The sequence below is a fragment of the Homo sapiens genome, chromosome 11 (assembly GCF_000001405.40).
Source record: "Homo sapiens chromosome 11, GRCh38.p14 Primary Assembly".
In the NCBI taxonomy this organism is placed as follows: Eukaryota; Metazoa; Chordata; class Mammalia; order Primates; family Hominidae; genus Homo; species Homo sapiens.
The window spans coordinates 67,349,371-67,375,020 of NC_000011.10; the positions used below are offsets into that span (position 1 = coordinate 67,349,371).

The 25,650-nt window shown below is 56.4% G+C and overlaps 2 protein-coding genes, 1 long non-coding RNA gene and 1 pseudogene across 8 annotated transcripts in view, besides 10 other annotated features; 2 read left to right on the forward strand and 2 right to left on the reverse strand.

Moving 5' to 3' along the window:
• The window catches only part of LOC100130987 (uncharacterized), a 73,849-nt gene that overhangs the window by 31,532 nt on the left and 16,667 nt on the right, over positions 1-25,650 (forward strand). The gene's annotated exons all lie outside the window — the stretch shown is intronic.
• POLD4 (DNA polymerase delta 4, accessory subunit) lies at positions 1,395-4,226 on the reverse strand. 5 transcript variants are annotated; one of them, NR_046413.1, is made up of 4 exons: positions 4,169-4,226; positions 3,618-3,707; positions 3,321-3,432; positions 1,395-2,649 (listed from the first exon to the last, which is right to left on the reverse strand). NR_046413.1 is itself a non-coding variant. In NM_021173.5 (4 exons), exons 1-4 carry the CDS (start codon positions 4,027-4,029, stop codon positions 2,625-2,627), a joined length of 324 nt encoding a protein of 107 aa, NP_066996.3. In that variant the 5' UTR covers positions 4,030-4,176; the 3' UTR covers positions 1,402-2,624. The 5 variants fall into 5 exon arrangements, 2 of the variants coding, with proteins under 2 accessions (NP_066996.3, NP_001243799.1); NR_046412.2 differs by having other exon boundaries at positions 1,402-2,649; positions 3,994-4,176; NR_046411.2 differs by having other exon boundaries at positions 1,402-2,649; positions 3,924-4,176.
• Positions 2,856-3,438: an enhancer, noted in NCBI's record as "H3K27ac-H3K4me1 hESC enhancer chr11:67119697-67120279 (GRCh37/hg19 assembly coordinates)". NCBI's record gives its function as "activates a minimal SCP1, AML or CMV promoter by ChIP-STARR-seq in naive H9 embryonic stem cells {active_cell/tissue: H9 hESC(naive)}" and the evidence as "EXISTENCE:reporter gene assay evidence [ECO:0000049][PMID:30033119]".
• Positions 3,439-4,020: an enhancer, noted in NCBI's record as "H3K27ac-H3K4me1 hESC enhancer chr11:67120280-67120861 (GRCh37/hg19 assembly coordinates)". NCBI's record gives its function as "activates a minimal SCP1, AML or CMV promoter by ChIP-STARR-seq in naive H9 embryonic stem cells {active_cell/tissue: H9 hESC(naive)}" and the evidence as "EXISTENCE:reporter gene assay evidence [ECO:0000049][PMID:30033119]".
• Positions 4,014-4,063: an enhancer, noted in NCBI's record as "active region_5087". NCBI's record gives its function as "activates an Ori minimal core promoter by ATAC-STARR-seq in GM12878 lymphoblastoid cells {active_cell/tissue: GM12878}" and the evidence as "EXISTENCE:reporter gene assay evidence [ECO:0000049][PMID:35858748]".
• Positions 4,244-4,493: a silencer, noted in NCBI's record as "silent region_3625". NCBI's record gives its function as "represses an Ori minimal core promoter by ATAC-STARR-seq in GM12878 lymphoblastoid cells {active_cell/tissue: GM12878}" and the evidence as "EXISTENCE:reporter gene assay evidence [ECO:0000049][PMID:35858748]".
• Positions 13,044-13,338, forward strand: RN7SKP239 (RN7SK pseudogene 239; annotated as a pseudogene).
• CLCF1 (cardiotrophin like cytokine factor 1) lies at positions 14,798-24,807 on the reverse strand. Of its 2 annotated transcripts, none has more exons than NM_001166212.2 (3): positions 24,677-24,807; positions 18,090-18,256; positions 14,798-16,260 (listed from the first exon to the last, which is right to left on the reverse strand). In NM_001166212.2, the coding sequence occupies exons 2-3, from the start codon at positions 18,240-18,242 to the stop codon at positions 15,766-15,768; spliced, it is 648 nt and encodes a 215-aa protein (NP_001159684.1). In that variant the 5' UTR covers positions 18,243-18,256; positions 24,677-24,807; the 3' UTR covers positions 14,798-15,765. The 2 variants fall into 2 exon arrangements, with proteins under 2 accessions (NP_001159684.1, NP_037378.1); NM_013246.3 differs by lacking the exon at positions 24,677-24,807 and adding an exon at positions 24,154-24,228.
• Positions 15,585-15,644: an enhancer, noted in NCBI's record as "active region_5088". NCBI's record gives its function as "activates an Ori minimal core promoter by ATAC-STARR-seq in GM12878 lymphoblastoid cells {active_cell/tissue: GM12878}" and the evidence as "EXISTENCE:reporter gene assay evidence [ECO:0000049][PMID:35858748]".
• Positions 15,685-15,734: an enhancer, noted in NCBI's record as "active region_5089". NCBI's record gives its function as "activates an Ori minimal core promoter by ATAC-STARR-seq in GM12878 lymphoblastoid cells {active_cell/tissue: GM12878}" and the evidence as "EXISTENCE:reporter gene assay evidence [ECO:0000049][PMID:35858748]".
• Positions 18,138-18,637: an enhancer, noted in NCBI's record as "H3K4me1 hESC enhancer chr11:67134979-67135478 (GRCh37/hg19 assembly coordinates)". NCBI's record gives its function as "activates a minimal SCP1, AML or CMV promoter by ChIP-STARR-seq in naive H9 embryonic stem cells {active_cell/tissue: H9 hESC(naive)}" and the evidence as "EXISTENCE:reporter gene assay evidence [ECO:0000049][PMID:30033119]".
• Positions 19,407-19,456: a silencer, noted in NCBI's record as "silent region_3626". NCBI's record gives its function as "represses an Ori minimal core promoter by ATAC-STARR-seq in GM12878 lymphoblastoid cells {active_cell/tissue: GM12878}" and the evidence as "EXISTENCE:reporter gene assay evidence [ECO:0000049][PMID:35858748]".
• Positions 23,617-23,956: a silencer, noted in NCBI's record as "silent region_3627". NCBI's record gives its function as "represses an Ori minimal core promoter by ATAC-STARR-seq in GM12878 lymphoblastoid cells {active_cell/tissue: GM12878}" and the evidence as "EXISTENCE:reporter gene assay evidence [ECO:0000049][PMID:35858748]".
• Positions 24,517-24,566: a silencer, noted in NCBI's record as "silent region_3628". NCBI's record gives its function as "represses an Ori minimal core promoter by ATAC-STARR-seq in GM12878 lymphoblastoid cells {active_cell/tissue: GM12878}" and the evidence as "EXISTENCE:reporter gene assay evidence [ECO:0000049][PMID:35858748]".

A 25,650-nucleotide genomic window follows, 5' to 3' on the forward strand; every position in this document is an offset into this window, starting at 1 on the left:
TTCTGAGCAGTCCACCTCCCCACGCTGGTCCAGATCACCCTCAGCTCTCATGAGGCCAACTTCAGTAGCCTCCTGAGTGGTTTTGCTACCTCTGTTTTCCCCAGCTCCACAATCTTGTTTTCCACCAACAGAGTAATGTTTTCGAAACATAAGCTTGACTCTGTCATTTATTGGCTTCAAGCCCTCCAGTATCCTCCCCTCTCACTCAGAATCAAATCCAGTTTCTTATCATGGCCCTAGGGACCAGCCCGCTGCCTGTCTGCCCTCAATTCCCACTACCCTTCCTCACTCCCTGGCCCCCAGCCTCACTGGCCTCCTCAGTGCCTTTCCTGGAGCAGGCTGGAAACACTCCTTCCTCAGGAAGCTTCTCCTTGTTGCTCCTTCTGCCTGGAACCCTCAGATGCAGACCTTGCTCCCTTCCTTCCTTCAAGTCTCTGCTCAAATGCCACCTTAGCAGAGGGCCTTCCCTGACCAGTCTCTCTAACATAGCGCCCCTGGCATCCTTGGACCCTTTCTGATCCCAACTCTGATTTTGCTTACTACTGACTGCTACCTGTCATAATTAACTTACGTGTTTGTTTTTGCCCATCTCCTGACCATTAGTAATACCCCAAGGGGACCTTTGGTGCCTGGCACATAGTGAGTGCTTAGCAGCTGGGCAGGAGGTATGGCATAGTCTGGAAGAGGTTAATGCAAGTGGCCCCTGGTCACTGCACTGCCTCTTGCCTGCTGTGTGCTTTTGGGCAACTTTACTTAACCTTTCTTAGTTTCAGTTCCCCCTCAGTAAAACCTACCTGGAAGGTTTTTTAGGAGGATTCGAGGTAATACATTTAAAGTACCTGAGACATGATCAGTGCTCAGACGGGGGCTACACAGGCCACTTAGCTGCCCTCTAGGCCTGTTTCCAAGAACTTACTAGTGCTGCCTCCATCTACCCCCAGGATAGAGGGCTGCCACAGTAGATGAAGGTAACACTATAGAAGCGGTTACTGACTCTATTCTCCATGTCATACCCTGACCCTGGGTCCCCTGGGCATTGTTTCTGGCTCCAGCCAGTTCTCCTCCATCCCCCAGCACCATCAGTTTCTTTTTTCTTTCTTTTTTTTTTTTTTTTTTTTGAGATGGAGTCTTGCTCAGTCGCCCAGGCTGGAGTGCAGTGGCGCGATCTCGGCTCACTGCAAGCTCCGCCTCCCGGGTTCACGCCATTCTCCTGCCTCAGCCTCCCAAGTAGCTGGGACTACAGGTGCCCGCCACCAGGCCTGGCTAAGTTTTTTTGTATTTTTAGTAGAGACGGGGTTTCACTATGTTAGCCAGGATGGTCTCGATCTCCTGACCTCCTGATCCACCTCCCTCGGCCTCCCAAAGTGCTGGGATTACGGGCGTGAGCCACTGCGCCCAGCCTTTATTTTGTATTTTTTTATTTTTTGAGACGGGGTCTCTCTCTGTCACCCAGGCTGGAGTGCAGTGATGCGGTCTCAGCTCACTGCCAGCTCTGCCTCCCGGGTTCACGCCATTCTCCTGCCTCAGCCTCCTGAGTAGCTGGGACTACACCTGGCTAATTTTTTGTATTTTTAGTAGAGATGGGGTTTCACCATGTTAGCCAGGATGGTCTCGATCTCTTGACCTCGTGATCCGCCCTCCTTGGCCTCCCAAAGTGCTGGGATTACAGGTGTGAGCCACCGCGCCCAGCCATCAGTTTCTTACCAAAGCCCCTCAGATGATGGTCATGTCTGAGCAGGTCCTGCAAGTTGAGACCCTCGCCAGCCCTGCTTTGGATCAAGGTGGCCCCCGATGTGGGAAGCCAGAGGTGCTTGCTGGGAATGTATAGATATGTTTGGACTTCATGAGCTATGGACCCCAGGGGTCCTTCTCTGGCAAAGCACCCATGTTTGTGAGGTGGGCACCGCTTAGCAAGGCAGGTGGCTGGCTAGTCAGGTAGGTTTTCCCTGGCTGCTCCAGAAGGTGAGTCATGAGTAGTTTCCCTGTGGGCCACCAGGGGGCACCAGAGGTCGCTCAGCTCTTCCGAGGACTTGATCCGTCTCAAGATGACTGTCTCCTCCCTCTTCGGCCTAGGACTTTCTTGAAGGAAAAGAGCTGTAGTGGTGCCTCTCTCATCTCCTAACTTGCTAGGGACTGCCAGTCAAAGCAGGGCCACAGTAAAGGACTGAAGGTCAGGATTCCAGGCTCAATATTCTTTATTGATAAGCATTAGTGAACCCCTTGCCCTGGGAGCTCAGCCAGTCCTGCTCTCAGATTCCTGGCCTTAGGTGGGAGAGCATCTTTTCCTCATGGATCAACTGTCCATGTCTGACTGTGCCTAACTTGCCAGATCATGGGTCAGGGAGACAGGCAGCAGGTATTGGAAGGTGATGGCCAGGTCCTTTTCCCCAGTGACCACTCTCCATCTAGAAGCACTCTGCTTCAGCTGCGCAGGCTCTTCCGGGGACTCTGGGAGCCTGCTGGTTAGATGGAGGAGTTGAGCCTCTGACACCTCCAGGTTCTGCCTGCCAAGGGTTCCTCCGCAGCCGGGCTGAGCTGAGCAGGAGCAATGGGCTCTCGCTTCTGTCCTGAGGTTCTTGGGTGGTGAGCAAGAGAGCTAAGGGCAGGAGGTCTTACGTGGTGCCTCATAGGGGATAGAGATGCCAGAGACTGTGGAAGATGGGGTGGGAGGGAGGGATACCCCAGAGAGAGAGAGAGAGAAACAGAGAATCAGTTGTTGAGTCCCTGGATCTGATTTCACCAGCTTATTCTTGGCCATGCCCATAGTCCTTGGGAAACCCCTCAGTTCTAAATAGATAGTTCCTTGGGTCCTGGGTGTACCTTTGCCCCCCACTAGCTTGTAGAGGTAAGAATTATTGGCCGGGTGTGGTGGCTCACGCCTGTAATCCCAGCACTTTGGGAGGCTGAGGTGGGTGGGATCACGAGGTCAGGAGATCAAGACCATCCTGGCTAACACGGTGAAACCCTGTCTCTACTAAAAATAGAAAAAATTAGCCGGGCGTGTTGGCGGGCGCCTGTAGTCCCAGCTACTTGGGAGGCTGAGACAGGAGAATGGCGTGAACCCGAGAGGCGGAGTTTGCAGTGAGCCGAGATCGCGCCACTGCACTCCAGCCTGGGCAACAGAGCAAGACTCTGTCTCAAAAAAAAAGAATTATTATAGTGGCGTGTCCTCCTGAGCCAGGCACCTCATAGAATCTTCTTGCCTGTTCAGCAAGGCCTTCCAACCCTCCATCCATTTCTCCCTCAGGTCAGGACAGCAGGGTGACAGTGCCTGGAGAAGGCCCTGGCTCCCCTGAAAGCCCTCCCGGCCTGTCTCTGACCTGCACTGGAAGCGGGGGTCTCCGGGGTGGGTCTTCAGCACCTGCCACACCTCTGGGGGAGGCTCCAAGCCCATCTGCTTGGCCCGACACCAGCGCTGCAGCCGTGTGATCCCTGCCAGGGTGGGAAGAAGACTCTGGAGACTTGTGGGGGGTGGGGTAGAGTCTGAGCTGGAGAATGTGTGTGTTGGGGGGAGACAGTTCCTGAGGGTCAGAGTCACGCAAGCGCTTGGGTGACTTCAGAGACGTGTGGGTGACTGGCTGGGAGAGGCGCCTCCGTGGGGCTGGGTGGGTTCTCACCGGTGCAGGGCCCGTACTGCCAGGCCAGGTCAAACTGCCTCAGCAGCTCCAGCTCCGCTTCCTCCTCGTCGCGGGGCTGGGGCTCCTCCCCTGCAATGACAGCTGCTCTTCAGTACGAGGTTGGCTTCAGTCTCCTGCCCCTCACCTCCCAGCCTTCCTCACCACCGCTTTGCCTCTGCCACCCCGCAGCTAGACCTGGTGTCGGGAGGGGAGGACAGGCCACCTTTCCCTTTCCATCGGCCCCTCCGCCCCTCTAGGGGCCTCCTCTAGGCCCCTCCGTGTCCACTCCTCCTGCCTCCCTCACACCTCAGAGACCTAGCTCGGGTGCCAGCTCCCCCTTGCTGTGCCCAGCGGGCCCCTCCCTCCTCTTCACAACCGGGTAGGAATCAGTGATGAGCCGCTTCCGGCCCATGGCGGCCACCCAGGCAGGCAGAGAAGGAGGCAACTGCGGGGAAGAGGAGAGACCGGCCAGTGGGCGCGAGAAAGACAGCTGCTGAGAGAGACAGACGGGGCCAGGCCAGCGGCGGGCAGACAAGATGACCCAGACAAACCGAGAGAGGAAGTCGCCGGGGTCCAGGGAGGGACGCCTCCCCCACCCCCAAAAGCACGCAAACAGGAAAGACTTCAGCCAATGGCAGGCCGCCTATGCGGGGCGGGGCCCTGGCGCTAGCCAATGGTAGGCAGTGTAGGGTGAGGGGCGGGGCGGTGCCTCAGCTGTGGGCCGCGGGAGGAGGGGCAGGCTGGGGCGGGGGACCTGTCGGGATGCCCCGACTTCACCACCTTCCCCGGCCCCCATTGGTCTGCTGTGGGTCCCGAGAGACTTCAGGAGAGTTATCTTCAGCCTCTCACTTCCCGTTTTCCCTTCCTAGGCAAATGTTCTTTTCAGCTTCGCTAATCCCCGTGGCCAGTTTGTAACTCCCTAGAGTCCAGCTGGAGCCTTCACTCGGTCCTTTGGCCCGCCCCGCCTTGTGGGGGCAGGTCTGGAGGTCTGAAGAGAGTTTGGGCTAATCCAGGCCCCTTCCCGGCTCCCACCCAACCCCCACTGGCCCCAGGAGACCTGGCTGGAGAAGCCCATGGGTTCTGAAACCTCCTTTCTCACAGTCTGTGCCCAAAGATGCTGCCCACTCTTAGTCCGAGTAAGTGTTTGCCGTTTTGACTCTCCTGGGGTCCCAAGTCGTGTCCGGCCCGCCCCACCAGTCAGGAAGATTCCATACTGAGTAGGAAGGCAGAGCAAGGGTCTGGTCCCCCCACCACAATGTGTTTGGATCCCTAGTTCTTCACTGGCAAAATCTGCCCTGTCTCTCACAATAATGTGAGTCTGAGCAGAAAATATTAATAATAAACCTAACACTCATTGCACGTACCATGTGCCAAGTACTGTTCTAAGCACTTTCCCACATGTTAATTAAAATAGATGTCAAAAAGTTTTTGAAAGTAGGAAGTATAGCTAAATGATTATCACTGCTGATAGTCACAGGCATTGTAGGGCCCCAATCAAACCACAGTCTCTCTTGCACCCCAGGAGCTCACTGTCACAAGGCAGACAGATGCACAGTTGTCAGTGAGAGGCTATAATTCCTACCAGAAGAGGGAAAGGGTGGGTCAGAGATTGGTTAGGACCACAGGGATGATTAGCATTGGAAGGCCTCCTGGAGGAGGTGGACTGCTGTAAACAATGTCTCTCAATTCTCCACCCATGACCTTTGTCCCTTGGGCTCCTGTCATCACTGACTCACCCATACTGCTGCCTCCCCCTCACCAACTTCCTGGCAGGAGGCAAAAGTACTGGCCAGTGGGAGTCTGGGAACCAGCACAGGGACCAGCCCAGCTCTAATCACCCTCCAGAGATCCCATCCGGTTCTTCCTTCCAGGGATACTGGGAGGGTGGGGCACAGACTCCTGGGCTGCTGCCTGCTCAGAGGCCTCTGCCTCCTCCTTTCCCTGCTCTGGGGTCTGGGTGTTCTGCACTGGAAGAGGGCTAAGCCACTGGTACACGTGGGCACAAGGGAGGAAGCTGCTCTGGAAAGGAGACCACCAGAGGGGAGGCAGAGGAGCAGGCCATGTCTTCAGGGTCCACGTCCTGCCTGGCTCTCCCCATCGGCGTCCTAGAGGAGGGAGCTTGTGGGGGCACTGCATGGAGCTGGAGGGCCCTTTCTGCTGTATTGTTTGGGCTGGGCCTAGTCTAATCCCCCCATCTGCCTTGCGGACTAAGTGGGGCCCACATTCAGGGAGACAGTGTCCCTGCGGAGTTAGTGATGGAAGCAGGGAGGCCCTGTCTACCAGGGCTGGGAAGGGCCTAGGTGCTGAGTCCAGTCAGGTGCTGAGCATGCTAGGTAGGGATGGCGTCTAGGCTCTGGGGGATTGACTACCCCTCCCCAGAGGGTCTTGGCAAGGGTTCCTGGGCTGTTTCCAGAGGTGTGTGGCACCCACCTCCTGAGTCCACCAAGCCCTGAGGGAGTAGGGAGCCATGGGTGGGGCAGACCCCTCCTCATTCCCAGTCCCTCCCACCCCTGAAAGCTGATAGCCGTGGGGCCCTGCCACCGCCCAGGGAGCGTGAAATGGGGTGTGCCGCTGGGCAGCCACAGTAGCTCCTACCACCGCCTGGGCCTATTGCCTTTTCTCCTTGGGCAGCCTCTGGCATCCTGAGCTGCTCTGTAGATGTTGGCTGGGCTGTCCCTGCCAGCTTCCCCAGCTTTGCCTGGCACAGGCCCCAACCCAGGCTGGAAGATGTCTCCCTCAGGCTTCAGCTACCCCCACACCCAAGAAAAAGATTCAGAGTGGTCAGCTCAAGTGCAGGCACCCTAGGCCTGGCTTTCTGCCTTGGAGTTGAGGGAACTCTCTGCAGGCAGCATTGCTGCTCTCTCTTAGATGGCAGTAGGGTGGAGCCCCTAGGAAAGAGTTGGCACCCAGGGATTTTGGAACCATCCCTGTCCAACTGGCATGCCCTGACTCAGCACCTGAATCCCTAAGGTGCGCTGAGGACTAGGCTGGACCTTGACCTTCCTGTCCTCAGGTCTTTTCCTTCTTTGCTGTCCAACCCCATCCACCTTCTGTACCTTCTTGCCTAGAACCCCTTCACCTACTCAGGCAGCATCCTGGCCTCATTCCCTAAACTGCTGTCTTGGAGCCTGTTCAGGCTTCAGACTGGATGGCCAGGCCAGAGTTCTGGGTTGGGTGCTGAGTTCTCTCTCCCTGGGGGAATGTCCTGAGACCCTTGTGTCAGCCCCGACACCCAGAGGCTGGTGATGAGACTAGTAGGAGTGACCTTTGCACCTCAGCCTGGTAACAATACCCAAGACCCTTGCTTCAGGGCCAAGCCCAGAGTCCTGGGGGTCCAGGAGAGAAAAGAACTGAAACAGGAACCCGGCACCTTCCCAGGGGCTGAGGCCCACCGCTGACTGCACTCAAGGGAAGGATTAGGTCTGGCTTAGCTCAGACAATGTGGTAGAATGGGGGCCTCAGCACTGCACCTGCATTCCCTTCCCCCACCTCACCATGAGGTTTGTGGGGAGAGCCAGGTAGAGCTGGGAAGCTGGAGGCAGGTGGAGAGAGGGGAGCAGCTGCCTGGGACCCAGTGGGCTGTGGGGTGGATCCAGCTCTTCTTCCCTCTCGCCAGTACCCCCCTTCCTCAGGCCCTTGGGCCCTGCCACCCACCCTGAGCTGAAAGTCAGTCCCACTCAGGAGATTCTGGGCAGCCAGAATACCCCTGGCCCCGGCCCCCAACATACTCACACACCGTGGGCCCCATTCCTCACCCTGTGGGCCAGAATTCTTTCAGGCAGTCCTTCCTAGTCCCTCACTGCCTTCCCAGACACTCCCTCTTCCCCTGGTCCAGGTTCTCTGGCCTAATGTGCTTCCATCGCAGCAGCTTGAGTGGAAAGGATGGGGTCTCTGGGTTTTTCTACCACTGCATCTTCTGTCCTGCTCCTACCACCCTCCACACCTTCTTCTCTAGTCACCTCCTCTTTCACCTTGGCCATCCAGGCTCTGGAGCAGTTCCGGGAAGACTTGAAAAGGGGCCTTCTGGCCATTACTCACCTTGGCCACCAGGTGTCAGACTTTGCCCAGCTGGGTGGGAGGAAGGTTCTAGTTAACCATTTCCACCCCATCAGTCTGGCCTCAGAGAGAGATCTGGGCAAGTTGGGGAGGAGCCTAGAGGTGACCACTGAACTGGCAAGGCTGAGGGACCCTGAAGGTTGAGACTGGGAAAAGGACTGGAACTCTGACTCTACAGCTTTCCCCCAGATCCCCCTCACTGCCACTGCCCCCACACCACCCCACTGACAAGGGCTTTGTCCCCTGCTGGGAAGTTCAGGAACGAGGCTGAGTCAGGGAGCTTGAGAATTGAAGGAACAAAGGCAGGGACAGTTGTAGCTCCACAGCAGAAGGGGAAGCTGAGAGGGAGCTGCCCATCGGAGTGCCCAGCCAGGACTGAGTCACTAGCCCTTGCCCTCTAGGTTAAGGGGAACAGAGGGCCTCCCTTTGCCCTTCCCCATTTAGGGTGGCTGTGGCAAGTGAGAGTGTGTGTGTGCATGTGTGTGTAAACTCAGTGCTTGAATGAGCCTCTCATATCATGAGGCGGCCTGTAAGTCTTGGACGGTAGGTCAGTCTTTGCAAAAGTGGAAAACTGGCAAGATCTGAGTATTGTGCCATCTCCCATCAGAGCCTCCTCTAGCCCCACTTCCCCCAGAGGTTGCCCCTGCCTCAAGTGATAGTTCTCCATTTTATGCTCATTCTTTCAAACATAGGTGTGTTTCTAAGCACTCAAGATGATGACAAGATTTCTAATCCTTACATTCTATCTGGAGATGATGGAGAGGAGGGTCTTCTCTTGCCCACTCTCCCGATCCTTGTGGGGACATGAGGAATACTAGAGATAACACACCCTCCACCCTTTGACATTGCAATGCCTTAGAGTCTCATGTTAGCCTCTGGGCCTCTGACTCTGAAGCCATTCTTAGGAGGTAGAACCTCGATAACCAACAAAACTCATTGGATCTCCTGAAGCAGCTCTGGATGGAAAACCAATGACTCACTCACAGAAAACGCCAGTGCCCTGTGATCTACCAGGTGCTCCCTGTGCTGTGGTGCTGGCATTTTCACAAGATGCCTGTGGGACACAGTGCCAAAACACAAACGAGCAGCTCACATCCCCTGTCACCATCATTAGGGGCTATTTGAGAGAGTTCAAGAACTCACACTCTGAAGTGCCCTCTCTGATGGTGCTCTCATCCCCCTCTCCCTCCACCACGCCACCGCCACTGTGGGAGCGTTCTGCGTCCTCAGCATGCAGGAACCCCAGCGCTCCCCATTCAGGATTCTTCTCCCAGCCTATTCCCCTCCTCTGTTTCCCTCCACTGACCACTCTTCCCTTACTGCCTGGCTCTGGCTCCCAGCCAATTTCCAGTAGTTTCCAGCAGCCTAGAATCCCCCTTGATTCTCTGCCATTCTTGCCTTGCCAATCCTCAGCCTTGGAAAATGCCCTCTTCTCCAGTCTGTCCCTCCCTCTGAAATGCTAAGGAATGTCACTGCCCATGGTGACAGGTCCACGGCAAAGGTGCCTGCTGATATCACCGGGTTCTATTTGGCTGCCCAGACACCCTTTGGCTCTCCTGTGGTTGTCTCCTTATTCCATTCTCTAAACCTCCCCATTTTTCTCCACCCGCCCCCTACTCACTCAGCAATAACATGTTTAGATCACTTCTATTTAACAACAACAACAACAAAACAAACAAAAGCCTTCTGTGATCTTGCTAACCTTTCTAGATGGTGTTTTTTTGTTTGTGTGTTTTTTGAGACAGTCTCGCTCTTGTCGCCCAGGCTGGAGTGCAGTGGTGGGATCTTGGCTCACTGCAGCCTCCACCTCCCAGGTTCAAGCGATTCTCCTGCCTTAGCCTCCTGAGTAGCTGGGATTATAGGCATGCACCACCAGGCCTGGCTAATTTTTATAGTTTTAGTAGAGATGGCCATGTTGGCCAGGCTGGTCTCAAACTCCTGACCTTAAGTGATCCGCCCTCCTTGGCCTCCCAAAGTGCTGGGATTACAGGTGCAAGCTGCTGCGCCTGGTCTCTTAACCAGCAAACTCTGAGGGACTTGATTTACCCCTTCTACTTCTGCCCACCATGGCCTTCATTAATCTCACAACTCGGTGGCTGCCTCTCACCTGCTGTTTCACAAAGGTTGCCTGAGACTTCCTGATTGCCAAAGCCACTGGATTTTGCTCAGCATTCTTCTTGAGCTCCTCTGGGGCATCTGAGACTGTTGATCAGCTCCTTCCTTCACCTAGGCTGGAGTGCAGTGGTGTGATCACAGTTTACTGCAGCCTCGACCTCCCAGGCTCAAGCGATCCTCCTGCCTCAGCCTTCCTTGTAGCTGGGACCACAGGTGCGCCACCACACCTGGCTAATTTTGTTTTGTTTTGTTTTTTGTTTGTTTGGGTTTTTTTGAGATGGAGTCTCGCTCTGTCACCAGGCTGGAGTGCAGTGGTGCCATCTCGGCTCACTGCAATCTCCGCCTCCTGGGTTCAAGCGATTCTCTTGCCTCACCTCCAGAGTAGCTGGGACTACAGGCGTGCGCCACCACATACAACTGATTTTTGTAGTTTTAGTAGAGACAGGGTTTCACCATGTTGGTCAGGATGGTCTCTATCTCCTGACCTCATGATCCGCCCGCCTCAGCCTCCCAAAGTGCTGGGATTACAGGCGTGAGCCACCGCGCCTGGCCAATTTTTGTGTTTTTTGTAGATACAGGGTTTTGCCATTTTGACCAGGCTGGTCTTGAACTCCTGGGCTCAAGTGAGCCTCCTGCCTCAGCTTCCCAAAGTGCTGGGATTATAGGTGTGCGCCACTGTACCTGGCCTTTTCTGTCAATTTCCAAAACACTATCGTCTTGACACACACTTTTTAAATTTTTCTCTAATATAGCAACCCTATTAACTGATGTCTTGACACTCTTTAAATCAGTTTAAGTCAAATTGTCAAGGTTTGGCTGGGTACAGTGTCTCACGCCTATAATCCCAGCACTTTGGGAGGCCGAGGCAGGGGGATCACTTGAGATCAGGAGTTCAAGACCAGCCTGGACAACATGGTGAAACCCCATCTCTACTAAAAAAATACAAAAAAAAAAAAAATAGTCGATGTGGTGGCGTACGCCTGTAATTCCAGCTACACCGGAGGCTGAGGTGGGAGAATTGCTGGAACTGGGAGGTGGAGGTTGTAGTGAGCCAAGATCGTGCCATTGCACTCCAGCCTGGGGACAGACCAGGACTCTGGCTCAAAAAAAAGAAAAAAAAATTATCAAAGTTTTACTGTGCCAGGCATTACACTAAAATGCTGTAGGGCTGGGCACAGTGGTTCATGCCTGTAATCCAAGCACTTTGGGAGCCCACGGTGGGCAGATCACTTGAGGTCAGGAGTTTAAGACCAGCATGGCCAATGTGGTGAAACCCTGTCTCTACTAAAAATACAAAAATTAGCCAGGCATGGTGGTGGACGCCTGTAATCCCAGCTACTTGGTTGGCTGAGCTAGAAGAGTTTCTTGAACTTGGGAGGCGGAGGTTGCAGTAAGCTGAGATTGTGCCACTGCACTCCAGCCTGGGTGACAGAACGAGACTCCATCTCAAAAGAAAAAAACAACAAAACACTAAAATGCTGTAGGGATGCAAAGATGAATAAATCGTGGGCCTTGCCCTCAAGATGTTATTTGCTTGAAAAAGACAAATACGCCGGGTGCGGTGGCTCACGCCTGTAATCCCAGCACTTTGGGAGGCCGAGGCGGGTGGATCAAGAGGTCAGGAGATCGAGACCATCCTGGCTAACACGATGAAACCCCGTCTCTTCTAAAAATATAAAAAATTAGCTGGGTGCAGTGGTGGGCACCTGTAGTCCTGGCTACTCGGGAGGCTGAGGCAGGAGAATGGCGTGAACCCGGGAGGCGGAGCTTGCAGTGAGCCGAGATCACGCCACTGCACTCCAGCCTGGGTGACAGAGCAAGACTCCATCTCAAAAAAAAAAATAAATAAATAAAAAGAAAAAGAGAAAGACAAATACACTTAACTCCTTTTTTTTGAGTTGGAGTTTCACTCTGTCGCCCAGGCTGGAGTGCAATGGCATGATCTCGGCTCACCGCAACCTCCGCCTCCCAGGTTCAAGCGATTCTCCTGTCTCAGCCTCCCTAGTAGCTGGGATTATAAGCATGTGCCACCACGCCCGGCTAATTTTGTATTTTTAGTAGAGACGAGTTTCTCCATGTTGATCAGGCTGGTCTCGAACTCCCGACCTCAGGTGATCTGCCCACCTCAGCCTCCCAAAGTGCTGGGATTACAGGCGTGAGCCACCGCGCCCGGCCACACTTAACTAACTCTTATTCTGCCCCATCTCCATCTGTCTGAATTCTGCCCATCCTCCAAGAATGGTGTCAAATCCCACCGCATGCATTTATGGAAAAGGTAACTATTGAGCACTTGCTGTGTGCTCTGCACTGGAAATACAGCTATGGAAGTCAGCAATAACTTCAGATGCTGTTTTCTCCCCTAATAGGGCTCACAGCCTAGAGGGCCTTCACCTAACTAGATGCAGTCTCTCTTTCCTAGTCTTCTGTAGTATTTTGCCTGGATCTTTCTGCATTTAATCGAGTTCTGCCTTGTATTCTACCATTCAGGGAAGGGTTTCTATTCCCTTTTCTAGATTGTTTTGTCCAACACACTCATTGAGCACCTTCTTTTGGATGGAGTCTAAGCTGGGTGCTGGTATAGTGAGTAGAAGAAGACTCAAAAGCTGTCCCCAAGAAACTCAACAGGATAGTACTGTGTAAGCTCTCTGATGATAAGACCTCCTCCTTTACCTCTGTATTCCTTATAGCCCCTACTTAATGCTTTGCATATCACAGGCCACAGCTTATTTTGACTATGTGTGGAGACAGCCCTGATACCCTCTCCTTTCTATCTTGTTATGCAGGGGGCAGGGTCTGCAGGTGCCCTTGGCCATGCCTAGGCCATGCCTAGGCAGATGAGGAGCCCGGACCCCTCAGGGTGGGGCATGTGCCCTCTAACTTGGGCCAGATGACTCAGGGCCATTCAGCAGAGCTGGCTTGCCTCACCCACAAGCAAGTTAGTAGCTCCTGCACCTACACTCTGACCTCTCCCTTTTCTAGTGATTCTTGCACTTGCTGGCAGTTCTGTGTCTGCATCGCACAGATATGCCTGTGGCCCTTATTATTTCAGGTACATTGATCTTTTCTTCCCAAGTAGATTAGAAGCTCCATAAGGGCAGGAGCCAAATTAGGTTTTAGGCTTCTTTTGGCTTTTCTACACCACAGGCAGGTAATTAGATCTTGAAAATATTTGTCAACTGATTGACATTGCCATCATTTCTTACTTTCTTCACTTAAGGCATTATCTCCAGGAGGCCCTTATAAAATATCCATGTAGGATGTGAGGATGATCTGGCTGTGACATCTGTCACCCCATTGATCACCAGGGTTGATTCGGCTGATCTGGCTGTCTAGGCGGGTGTCCCTGTCCTCCCTCACAGCTCCTCGTGCATCCCTCCCGAAGCTGTGTGCTCTGTTGAGGACGACCATCCCTGATAGAGGAGGATCAGTCTTCCGTCAAGGGTATATGAGTAGCCTCGCTCCCATGCTAGAACTTCCAAACAAGCTCTCAAGATCCATAAAATATCCATGTATTACCTGGGAGCTATTCATTCATTGACTTACCCAGTGGTTCCTAACTAAAGTGTCATGACATGCTGCTAGAGCCTAAGTAATCTGTAATGACTACAGCTGCTGCTGCTACAGCCAAGCATCTGCCCTTTGTTGTTCCTGTTATCCTTTCCAGCAGTCTTAGATGGGTATTTAATTATCCCCACTTTACTGATGGGGAAACTGGTCACTCAAAATTTGTGAGTCTGAGATTTGAGCTTAGGGCATCCCTTGAATAGCATCTATCCCATTCTCTCACAATTTGAATTTTTCTCTTTTCCTGAATATGCTATCTTACATTGGAGAGAGAGGAGTAGCATTTACAGCTGAGGATTGTGACTTGTTCACAGTCTGTTTCCCTCCTGAAGAGAGGAAGGGTGTTGAAGTGAGGGTCACTGCTCCTGAAGCCCCAGTGGACAGAGACAGGCAGGAGTCCTGGGGAAGCTGGGGAGTGAAGCCCAGGGGCTGACTGCTCAGGGTAGAGCACCAGAAGCACAGATGAATAGCTTTGCTCATCATAAGGAGGCTGGGCCAGAGGGCAGAAATAGAAATTCAAGGTGGGAAGACAGACCTGTGAGACCATTAATGCAATCCAGGAAGGTGAGGCTGGCCAGGCGAGGTGGCTCACGCCTGTAATCCCAGCACTTTGGGAGGCTGAGGTAGGTGGATCACCTGAGGTCAGGGGTTTGAGACCAGCCTGGCCAACATGGTGAAACCCCGTCTCTACTAAAAATACAAAAAAAGCCAGGCATGGTGGTGCACCCCTGTAATCCCAGCTACTCGAGAGGCTGAAGCATGAGAATCATTTGAACCCAGGAAGCAGAGATTGCAGTGAGCCAAGATCACGCCACTGCACTCCAGCCTGGATAACAGAGTAAGACTCTCTCAAAGAAAAACCAAGGCCGGGCACAGTGGCTCACACCTATAATCCCAGCACTTTGGGAGGCCGAGGCGGGCGGACCATGAGGTCAGGAGATCGAGACCATCCTGGCTAACACGGTGAAACCCTGTCTCTACTAAAAATACAAAAAATTAGCTGGGCGTGGTGGCAGACGCCTGTAGTCCCAGCTACTCAGGAGGCTGAGGCAGGAGAATGGCGTGAACCCTGGAGGCGGGGCTTGCAGTGAGCCGAGATCGCGTCACTGCACTCCAGCCTGGGCGACAGGGCGAGACTCTGTCTCAAAAAAAAAAAAAAAGAAAGAAAACCGAATCCCAGAAAGGTGAGGAAGACTTAGCAAAGGTGGGGTGAGGGAAACCTGGGGTGGACAGAAGCTGTGTGGGAGGACTGAGGGATCAAGGGGTTGGTGGTGGCAGCAGCAGTGGGTAAGTCTGAGGTGCGCCCATCGCCCCAGTGCGGGGAGGAAGAGGGCCTCTTCCCAGAGCTCTGTGCAGCTCCACCAGAGGCAAGCAGGGAGTGGGAGCCAGGGGTGGCAAGAGTCTGATGAGCACCAGGAGGGGTGAGGCTGGGCAAAGAGACTAAGTTCTGGGGCAAGCATTTTATTTGTTAATACAAGAATAGAAATTCTGCAATAAATATCATCTAATAAATAACATCTCCAAATAAATAAATATTAATACAACACACTTAGAGTCATGAGTGGGTGGGGCTGGGGGGCAGGGCCTTGGGGAGCTGCCACCCTACACCCCAAAATGCTACTGCATTGTAAACTTTCAGGAAATCCTGTGGTGTGGCTATGGTTGCCCTCCCCAGCCTGGCAACCCACAGATACCCTGGGAAAGGGGGCAGAGAAGAGGCACCGTAATACTGGAAGACAATTCGAGGCAAGGTCCTGATGCTCAGCTCGGGTTTTGTTTGCCACTCTGTGCTTTGGAGACTCCTGGGTCTGGTCTGGTCTGTCCCTGCCCCTGTGCTTTCAGTATTTTCTCTTCTGGTTTATAGGGCACCTCCAATGCAGACCCCAACCCTGCACTGTTAATCTCATCTCTTTTTGTGTAGAATTGCCACCATGTTTGTTTCCTGAATTGGATGTATAGAGTGATTTGGGGATAAGGGAGCAACACCCATCCAAGGAGAGTGGGGCAGCCAAAGGGCTTCACCCCAGAAAGGCATGTGTGGTGGTGGCCCCTCAACCCCTGCCCTCCAGATGTGCCACCTGAGGGGCTGGGTGGGCACTGGCCAAGTGGTAGGCAAGAAGCAGGAGGCCATGAGCGCCTCTGCACCAACCTGAACCACTTCACACTCCCTCGAGCATGACTTCCTGTAGAAACAGGACAGGACAGGGCCTACTGTACCTCCTCCCCAGCTCGGTAGACCTTTGGGAGGTGGGGAGGAGACAGGGCTGATCGCATCACACGCCCAGCCGGTCCAGGAAAGGGCCAGAGGCTCACAGCTTCTGTCTCCTGGCTCAACAGGTGTTGGCATACAGGGCTGGCTCTCACAAAGTGGGAGCAGGGTTTGAAGGGGGAGCGAAGAGGAGAAGGTCAGAAGTCAGAAGCCATGAGCCCCCAGGTGCAGGGTGACTGCAGCTGCTGGAGGCTGCATCTTCTTCTTGAGCCGGTTGAAGTCCTTGGCCGAGCGCCACAGCCAGGTCTGCAGCTCCTTCAGCAGCCAGAAGTCGTCCATCTTCTGGAGGAAGTCACTGTGGGCAGGGCCAGGAGTCCAAGTGGGTTCAGTCCCAGGCAGCGGCTGGGGCAGTGGGTAGCCCAGAGCTGCCATGACGCCCGCAATGCTGCCCAGCAGGCCCTGGAGGCTGGTGCAGAAGTGGGCCAGGCTGCGGCGCAGCTCAGCAGTGGCAGCCTGACGGTTGAGGCCACGCAAGTAACACAGAAGGTGGCTGTAGGCCTCGTAGTTCTGGGTCAGCCGCAGTTTGTCATTGAGGCTTCGCCACACCTCCAAGTCAACAGTGGCCCTGGGCAGAGTCTCTGCCCCCAGGCGGGGAGGGTTGAAGTCTGGCTCGTTGAAAGGGGGGCCCAGGTAGTTCAGCTGTGAAAAGGAGAGGGTGATGGGGAAGGAGGAGGGCAGAGCCGCTGGCTCACCACCAAGGAGATACCTGCTCCCAAAGTTTCTATTTTTTGTGTCCCCTGACACTGGCCCTGTCTCCATGCTAGGCTTCTTTGTTCATGGCCTCCCTGAGTTTTTCCAATAAGGATATCATTTGTATGCAGGTGACAGTTGAAGCAGTGGCGGTGGTGAGCTCTCCAATGGAGAGGCGTAGAAAAAGGAGGAGGAGGAGACGCACAAGACGCTCAGGAAGGACGTGCTGATTGGCTGGGTGGGCAAACCTTGGGAGAGTGCCCGCTGTGGGGGCAGGACAGAGAGGAAGAGGAGCCTGGAGGAGCTGGAGAGGTAGAAGGTGGCCCAGGAGAGTGCAGAGACCAAGGAAGAGGAGTTCGAGAAGGCAGCAGCGCTCAGCAGTGTGGCTGCAAAACAGACAGCAAGGAGAATGAGCCTTCAAAACACTGTCGGGCTTGGCAAGGAGGTGCCTGACGACCTTGGAGAGAACCATTGCTGGGGCCTGGAAGCCAGATTGCAGGGGGTTAAGAAGTGAGTGGGTGGAGAGGAAGTGGAGGCAGAGGGTGTAGACCACTCCTTGGAGAAATTTGGCAGGGAAAGCCAGGAGAGAAAAAGGGTCGGGAACTAGAGAGGGCAGTGGAGTGAAGCAAAGGTTTTCTGCACAAGGAACAAGAGAGAGATGAGAGTGGCCCATTGGAACCAGAGCCCCATTTGCCGCTGACACACCCAGGCCCACCAGCTGAGGGGCTGGGGAGAGACGGGTACTCACTAACACTCCGAAAGAAGGGTTCAGCTGATAGGAGCAGGGTTGCAGAAGGAAGAAATGGAGGCAGTCTCATGAGTAGGACAGGAGGAAGGCTATGGAAGACAGCATGGTATAGGGAAGAGGGCAGAGCCCTTTCCAACCCTCGGGGGAGCGGCTGGGGCCCAGGGAAAGGGATGAGGGAGATGTATAACTGGGAAAGAAGGGAGAAGCAAGGGGAGAGGCCTGGGATAGGCAAGGGCCCAGGGGGAGGTTCACACGCTGACAAGCACAGAGACAAACTAATTTCCTCGGTGTATCCTGGGGCTGGAGCCAGCTCCCCCGCCACCCTCCTCCCTTTTCTTTCCCTGGCTCCAGAGTAGGGTCTGGGATGTGGAAGAGGAACACGGGAAGAGGGGGCCGGTTCCCCATGGTCCTCGGCTCCTCCAACCCTCCTTCCTTCTCTCCTGGGCTCTCTGAACACCTCTGGACCACCCCCAAATCCTTACAGCATAACCTCCATCCACACCCTAAACCCCCTGCCACTACTGCCTGGGTTCCCTACAGTCCCCTTCCCCCATGACCCCCCTAGGAGGCCCAGCTAGGATGGGAGAGGCAGACGGAAGGGAGGCCCCTGGGTCCAGAGCAGCAGGGCCCCAGGTCTGGGGGCAGAGGCGAGCTGGAACGCAGGCATGGGAGGTGGGGCCCCTCTGTCCCCACCCAACCCCGCCCGCGCAAGAGACACCACAACACGGTGTAAACAGAGGAGACTTCCCCGGCCCCCAGGGGGAGGCGGGCGGCTGGGCTGGCAGCCAGTGGGGCAATGGGCCAAGGCGGGTGCGAGGCCTGCCCACATGCCTAGTCCTGGGGCCAGGGATGGGGAAGTGGGGGGGCCACCTAAGAGGGAAGGGCAGGAGATAGACCAGACAGGGGGACTGGTGGGAGCCAAAGAGCCCCTCCTCACCCCATCATTTACCAGAACCCTCCACGGTTAGGACTGTCTTTCCCCAACTCCTCACTCCTCCCCAACTCCCAGATTCCTACGCTGGATACTCACATAGGTCCCAGCCAAGCTGCGGAGTTGGTGCTCCAGGTAGCGGGTGAGGTCATAGGTTTTCTGGATGGAGGGGCCAGGCCCTGGGTCCCCTGTGCGATTGAGAGCTGGCACTGCAGGGAGGTGCCAGAGCACCGTGCACAGGCACGCTAACATCCCCCACGAGTCCCCTGTGGGCAGGATGGACGAGAAGCATGAGCGCGGCCCGGGCCCACACGGGGAAGCAGCTGGCAGCCCCTCAGGTGTCTGTCCCCACCTTGGGCTGGGTGGGGGGTGAGGGTGGGACACCAGATGGGAGGCAGAGGGGATGGAGGAGGGGAAACACTCCTGGCAAGACGGGAGAGAAAGAGAGGCATGTGTATGTTTGAGGATGAGGACTTGGCACGCATGAGTGTCTATCAGTAGATACTTGAGAATGGATCTGTGTGTCAGCTGAGAGAGTCTTTGGCATGTGTGCCACTGTGTGTGTGCCAACATGTATATGTGTGTACATGGAGGGACGGGGCCAGGCCTAGGGACTGCAGGTCGACCTGCCTGTGTTCCAGTTGTACCCTAGCTTCCTGCCAGTCTTCAGTCCCACTGCAGCTTGAGGGGAGTCAGAGGGTGGGAGACAGCACATGTCAGAGCTGGCAGGCTGAGCACAGTCAGCCCTAAGGGAGGAAGCAGGAGAGAGGCGGCCGCCAAGAACAGACTCACCCATAGGAAGCAAGGTATAGGGTTAGACCACTAGGGTCGGGCTGCCTTATGGGGCTTAGTTTTGGGTATATTCTAGGATGTGATTCCTGAGTGTGGGAAGTGTAGGGTGGGGTTAGATTGAAGGAGATTTAGTGCTCACTCTCAGGGAACGGTGGCAGTGTGGAGGTTCACCCCGTTCTTGGTGTTAGGTGGGGAAAAGTTGGACTTCAATGAGGCCTTTCCATCAGCCTGCAAGGGTGGGGACAGGAAGGGAGAGAGGTGCATTTGACGAGTCGGGCTTGTTGGCTGATGGCACTGCAGAGTTTGGACATCCCAGGATACCAGGAGTCCAGAGGCCAGGGTTGGGTGCTGTAAGGAGGGATGTGGGCAGTGGGGAAATATGCTTTTCTGGGATTTTAAGTGAGGACCAAGGTGAGGATTCAGTGGACACTTTGGACTGGCAAAGGCAGTTAGGGTTTGGCTAGGGTAGATATAATTGGCATTGGGCTAGGTTAGGTTTAAGGACTGGGTTACTTTAAAAGTTTCAGATTAGTTTAGACTTGGGATTTGGTTGATTTAGTGCGGTTGAGGTTTGAGTCCAGCAAGGATGTGGTGAGGTCTGGGCAGGCAGAGGGTGAGTTGGAGGGCTGTGACTTGGTCGGTTTAGGTATCAGATGGGGCGCTGCTTGTCATGTTATGAAGAGCAGGGCTAGTTTGGGTTTTCAGCTTGAATAGGTGTGAGGTCATGAGTGGTTTCTTTCCTATAGTTCTTTTTTTTTCCTTTTTTTTTTTTTTTTTTGCTGCCACCTTCTCTTTCCACCACCCCTATAGTTCATATTTTATACTCTCAGATTTTTCTATAATGACATAGGTTGCTTTGATAGGCAGAAATAACTTAGATAGGTATAACGCTTTGCCCATGGTTAGGATGGGATTTGGATTCAAGAAAGAATGAAGACTAGGTTAGGTCTAATCACAGTGCTGGGGCAGTTTTGGAGAGGGCTAATAACTAGGAAGGATGCAAGACTCCATTTGTATAAAACATCTCTTATGGAGGACAGGGGTCAGTGAGGACTTCGGCAGTGGCCCACCTGGTCAGTCTGGACTCTTTCAGATGTGTGACTGGCCGGCTTTACTAAGGGAGCGTGGCGGTGGGGTACCACAAGTCACAGGGTCTTGGTTTGAGGCAAGTGTGAGTGTGTGTACACGCGTGTGTTTTAGGACAGAGAGTAGGGTCAGGCACTCAACTGCTCCCTGGGGAGACCAGCTCACCCTTTCCTGTCCCCTCTGAGCTTGTGGCTTCCTCCTGGACGCTGCTTTCCTCACTCTTCCTTTCTATCCCCAGCTCTTGCCTGACTCAGTTCCTTTCTCCTCCCTGCTCCTCACATCTCAACACAACTCCAAGCCTAGGGATCTGGCAGTCACCTCTAGGATCCTATGGGTACAGAGTAGCATTAGTTTTGGAGATTGGAGACCTGCTGAATTGGGCAGCGGCCCTCCCAGCCTTGAGGTCGCTTTCAGCATCGAGTCTGGCTTCACTCAAAGTTAGTGGCGAGACCAAGGGTCCCAACTGAAGCCGGAGCTGGGAGCTAGGCTTCCTTCTTTACCCACATGCTGGCCGGAGTTCTAGGCTCTGCCTTTGTCATGGCCAAGAGGTACAGTCAGGAACCCAGCTCAGAACTTACCCTCTCCCATTCTGAGCCCTGTGGGACATCCCTAGGGGAGATCAGCTCCCTACACAGGGACAGCAGGGGGAGAAGCCTTTGGATAGACAAGAACTAAGTCATCTGGGCAGAAAAAAACGGCTCATGAAATTAACCAGACGAGGCCGGTGTTTCCAGGAATATTTCAGTTCTGAGGTAACTGTGTCGTTGCAGGCTGCGGGTGGGGGGCAGGGGAGAACAGAAGGATCCGACGGCCCACAGAACCAGAAAGAGGGAAGGGTTCTCAGGAATCCAGAGGGAGAAGAGGTTAGGAGAAAAGAAAGGGGGGGTAGAAGGACAGGGCTCTGCCCCTGCTATGACAGCTTCCACTCTGGGCAAAGCCATGCCCGTGTCTCAGGCAGCAGGAGGGAAAGCAGCGTGGGGTGAACACCTGCGGTTTAGTCGTGAGCTTGGGAACCCAACACAGCTCGCCTGCCTCCTGAGGAGAGTGCGTGGTGGGCTTCCTGGAGCCCTCATCCATCCTCCCTCAGGCTCATGTTGTGCAGGTGGACCCCGGCCACTGGGGCTGTGTCCTAGGTCCCCCTCTCCCCCTCCCCACCAGTCCTGGCCCCCAGCCCGGCCCCCGCCCCAGCTCTGCCTCTGGCTGCTGCCCACTGATTGTTTACATCCCGTCTTCTCTGTGTGTTTATAAATCCGGCTGAGCACGTGAGGAGCTAACGAGTACAGCTCACGTTTCCTGCAACAGCCCCCCACCCCCGGCCAGCCCCTAATTCCATCCAGATCCCTGGGCCCTAGGAACCAAGGCTCTCCTCATGAACACACACACACACACACACTCTCTCTCTCTTAGCCCAAGGAAGTGACTGGCCACCCAGACAGCTGCACAGGCAGGCGCACCCGTGAGCACATGTCTTTAGCCACTTTAGCCAGCTGCCCCTCAGTCCCTGGCCTGGACACCCCCAGGCTGACCTTTCCCAGTGAGGGTGAGAGTTCAGCCATGCAGATGTGCCAGGGTGCTTAGGGTGGTAGGACAAGTCAATGGGAGTCTCTGCACCTGGGACTATAAGAGCTACGCTAAGAACTGTAAGCCCTAAATGTTGCAGCCAGGGAGGCACTGCAGAGCTCCAGAGGTGGGGCATGGTGGCCTCAGGCTGGGCTGAATATGGGAGCCAGGAGGAAAGGCCAGACCAGGACCAGCGCTGGCTGCGGTTGGAGGGGTCTGTTGAGGGGAATTGAGGGATGGAGTGGGTTAGGCGGGCAGAGTGGGTGAGGAGTGGGCTAGGGATGGAGTGGGTGAGGTCCAGGCATTGTGACGGTAGGAAACTGCCCCAGGGGCGTGTCCTGACCTACCTTCCCAGGCAAAGGCCCACAGAAACCCATCTTCCTTCCACCCTCTGGGCTGCTGCTTTCCCCTCTCTTACTTATCTCCCTTCTGCCTTTTCCTTGGTTCCTTTTACCCCAGGCCACTGAGAAGTAGCTTGGTGAGTGGGGACACATGGGCCTGGGAATTGGGAGACCTAGCTTTGCCACCAATTCGTCTGGTGACTGTGGGCTTGCACAAGGAGGTCACATTATGCAAGCTCAATTCCTCCTAGAGGAAACACACGGGGCTTCATCTCTCCTCTCCTCTCCAGCATCCCCCTTTGTGCCCTTCTCCTCCAGCCTAAATGACAGAGGTCACTGAGGCCCAGGGGAAGAAGCTGAGGGTGGGCCAGCCCCACTGCCTTATGAAGTCAGTAACCAAGCAAGCGAGACAGGAGTTGGGCTTTGGCTGGAGTGAGAGGGTTCCTGATTGTGCCACAAGAGGGCCATGGGTGTGCTCAGGGAGGCCAGCGGGGAGCCAGGGGGGAGCCCAGCAGCCCACTGAGAGCCAGAGGCAGGAGGAGCAGTGAAGGAGGAGTCCAGGGCAGTGGTGGGTGAATTGGAAAGGGTGTTGTTATCAAGAGGGGCGTGGGGGGGGAGGAGAGTGCAGGAGCCAGGTGTGCACAAGAGGTGGGACGTGGGGAGGAATGTGAAGTGTCAGTGAGCCAGTGGCTGGTGTGCAGGGGTGGCGTGCAGGGGTGGTGTGCAGAAGTGTGACGGACAAGAGTGTGGGTCTGTGAATGAAGGGGACAGGGAGCCATTGCACCCATCAGCAGTGTCACTTCTGGGGCTGCCGGGTGACAATTGCCATCTCTGCTTCCTCCCCGGTGGAGCGTGTGGCTCCAGGGCAGCGAGGGTGTCTGAGCTGGCCAGGAGCGCGTCTGGTCTGTTAGGGGAATATGTACTCGCATCCTGTCCGGTGTGAGGGGCAACGTGTGCTCCCGAGCTGTGGCGGAGGTCAGTCGGGGTCAGTGAAAGCACAGAGGTGTCCCTGGGTTAGGGTCAGAGAAGGAGGACCCAGTAGAGCAGCGTGCCCAGTGCCCCCCACCCCTAGCCTCTCTCCAAGGCTTAGCCTCCACCCGCCCGTCTCCCCTCCTCTCCTGGTAGCCCCTCACACCCCGGGGGGAGGGCCAGGCTGGGAGCTGGGGGAACAGGGGTCCTCTGGGATTGGGAGGGTCTGTGGGGAGGGCTCCAGAAGCCCAGCACGGAGTTGTGGAAAGGAAGGCGGGTGGGGAGAGCAAGCATGAGGGGACCTCTGGCGAGCCCCGGGGACTCTTTCGAAGGTTTCCTTCGAGGGGCTCGGCCGGGAAGCTGCACGGCGGCGGTTGCCAGCTGGCCCTCCCTGCTGGCGGTGACCTCTCGCTCTGGGACCCCTCCCGGCGCTGCGCCTTCCCCCTGTGTGGCCTCGGCGCCCCCGGCCCCGCCCCCTCCCGCTCCCGCCCGGTCGCTCCTTCCCCGCGGCGGGGGCGGGGGCGGGGGCGGGGGCGGGGTCCGGGGCACCGGGCTCCGGGCTCTGCCCGGCGCTGCCCTTTCCCGCGCGTCAACTCCCCTCCTGCCCGGGCTGAGCGGCTGCTCCCGCCGCTCCCTGGCCAGTGACAGACTTTTTCCTGCCGGGTCCGGCCCGGCTGCGCCAGCCCCCCGCCAAACAATAATCACTCCCAGGCCACGGTGGCCCGGGGGACTCGCGGCCGCCGCCCGCCGCCCCTACCTGCCGCCGGCTCCCCGGCCGTGGGCACCATGGAGGGTTCCGGCCGCGCGGCGCGTAGCTAGGAAGCCGCGAGTCCCGCGGCGCGGCTCGGCCCGTCCGGCCCGGCCCAGCCAGGCTCGGCGCTGCCCTCCGCCCTCCTCTCCGCCGCCCGCCCTTCCTCCCGCCCGCCCTCCTACCCCTCCCGGCGGGCCGGGGAGGGAGAGCGGCGCGGCCCGAGGTGTCGGCCTCCCCTCGCCTCCCGCCGCCCGGCCTCGGGCTCCCCCGGCCTCCCTCCCTCTTCCTCTCCCAGCCCCTCCTCCCACCCGCAGCCTCGCTCCCCGCCTCGGACTCTCTGGCCCCGACTGGTGCGCGGGGCTCTGGGGCTGCGGCTCCTACGGCCCGCCTCGCTGGGGCTCCAGGTTGCCGCCTCCCCAGGTCTGCGATCGTCCGGGCTCCCCGCCGCTCCCGGCCACCTCCTGGCCCCGCCGTGCGGACTCCAGGAATGCCGCGTCCCCGCCCGGCCCCTCTCGAGGGCGCCCAGCCGTGCCTCCCCCGGCCCGAGCCCAGCTCCCTGGCCCGGCCCCGGCGCGGGGCTCCCGGGGGTCAGGGCAGGACGGGAACCGGATCTCGTGGCTGCTTGGCGGGGCGGGGGTCGGGGCCTCGGCCGCCTGGCTCCTACCTGCTCGGAGGTCCATGGGGCTGGGGCCGGGCCGGCCGGGTGCGGCTCCTCTCCCGGAGGCTGGCGGAGTGGGAGGGCGAGCCGCGGCTCCGGCGAAGCTTTAATAATCCCATCCGCCAGGCCCACTCGCAGGTTTTTTTCGCTCGGTTTCGGATTTTTTTTTTTTTTCGGTGTGGGACATTCTGCAAACTTTTTTTTTTTTTTTCTGACGTGTAAAGCTGTAACCACAAATTGTAGCGGCCCTCCCCGGGGTGGGGGTAGGAGGGGGGAGGAGGGAAGGGAGGGCTTCTGGGGCTCCCTCTCCCTCCCACAGCACCGAGGGGGGGTGAGGTGAGGCGAGGCTGTGGCGGTACCACCCTGGGCCTCCTGGGGGAGGGGGCGGGGAGGCCATCAGTCCGTCTGAGGACTCCCAGGAGCCGGGGGACAGCGCCGGCTTCGGGTGGGCTTCTCCCCAGGCGTTGGCCTGGGACACCGCCCCCTGCCCCCTGTCCCCTGCCGATGCGGGGTCCCTGATCCAACCTACCTCTGCCTGTGCGAGGTCCCTGCTCCCACCCTACCTCTGCCTCCTCATCTCTAACCTTCCCTCCTCCTCCCCCTTGAGTAAATGCAATGACACATTCTCCCAAATGCCAGCGAGCTGGCCTGGGAGCAAGTGATGGTGTTTTTCCTGCTGCCCTTTGTCTGGGCTGACCGCCCCCCCTGCCTATTGTCCCGCCGCTTGTCCCATTTCCAAAAGCTAGAGCTAAGCGAGGCGCTGGGGCTGGGGCAGGTGACTAACCAGCTCACAATGCCCCCTGCGGGGGAGGAAGAGGGCACTGCAGGCCCACTGCCCGGCCCAGAGGCGAGAAGAGGCCACTTGGCGGGACTTTTTCCCTCAAGTTCACAAGGTTCTTCATTCTTCCTCCAGTGACCAGGGAGAATGTACATGGGTGGGGGATTTGTAATTCATTAATCAGCACGAGGCAACGGACCAGTTTCAACACCACAGGCTTCTTGGGTGACTCAGCGGGAATGCTCCGATTCAAGGCGATGGACCGCCCGAGCGTCCCCATTTGTGAAATGTTTCCCCATGAAGACCCTGGCATTCTCCTTCCTTTGGGGTTTCGGGTTGTTGGTTTTTCCGGTGGTGAGGTGGGGGTGGCTTAGCGGTGAGGGCTCCCCCTCCTTCCCGCAGGCCTGGGTTGGGATTTGCTGGGCAGGATACCTGGGGGTATGCCTGGACCCTCCCAGAGGGGGTCCCCTCCTCCCTCTCCAAGGGCTGCCGGGGAGAACACGCTCAGAGGAGGCAGCTCTAACCCAGGGCTGGGGACTGCCCTGCTTCATGATTTTCCTGGGGGAGAGTCATGTGGTCCCCAAGGCTTGGGTGCCCTATAGCCACACCACCAATTAAATCACTGGGTAATAAGTTGCTTTTGTTGTTGTTTATTTATTGTTTCAAAGTGGGAGAGGCCAGTGGTGGGCCAGACCTGGAAGGTGATGCCTCTCCCTGGAGTGGCA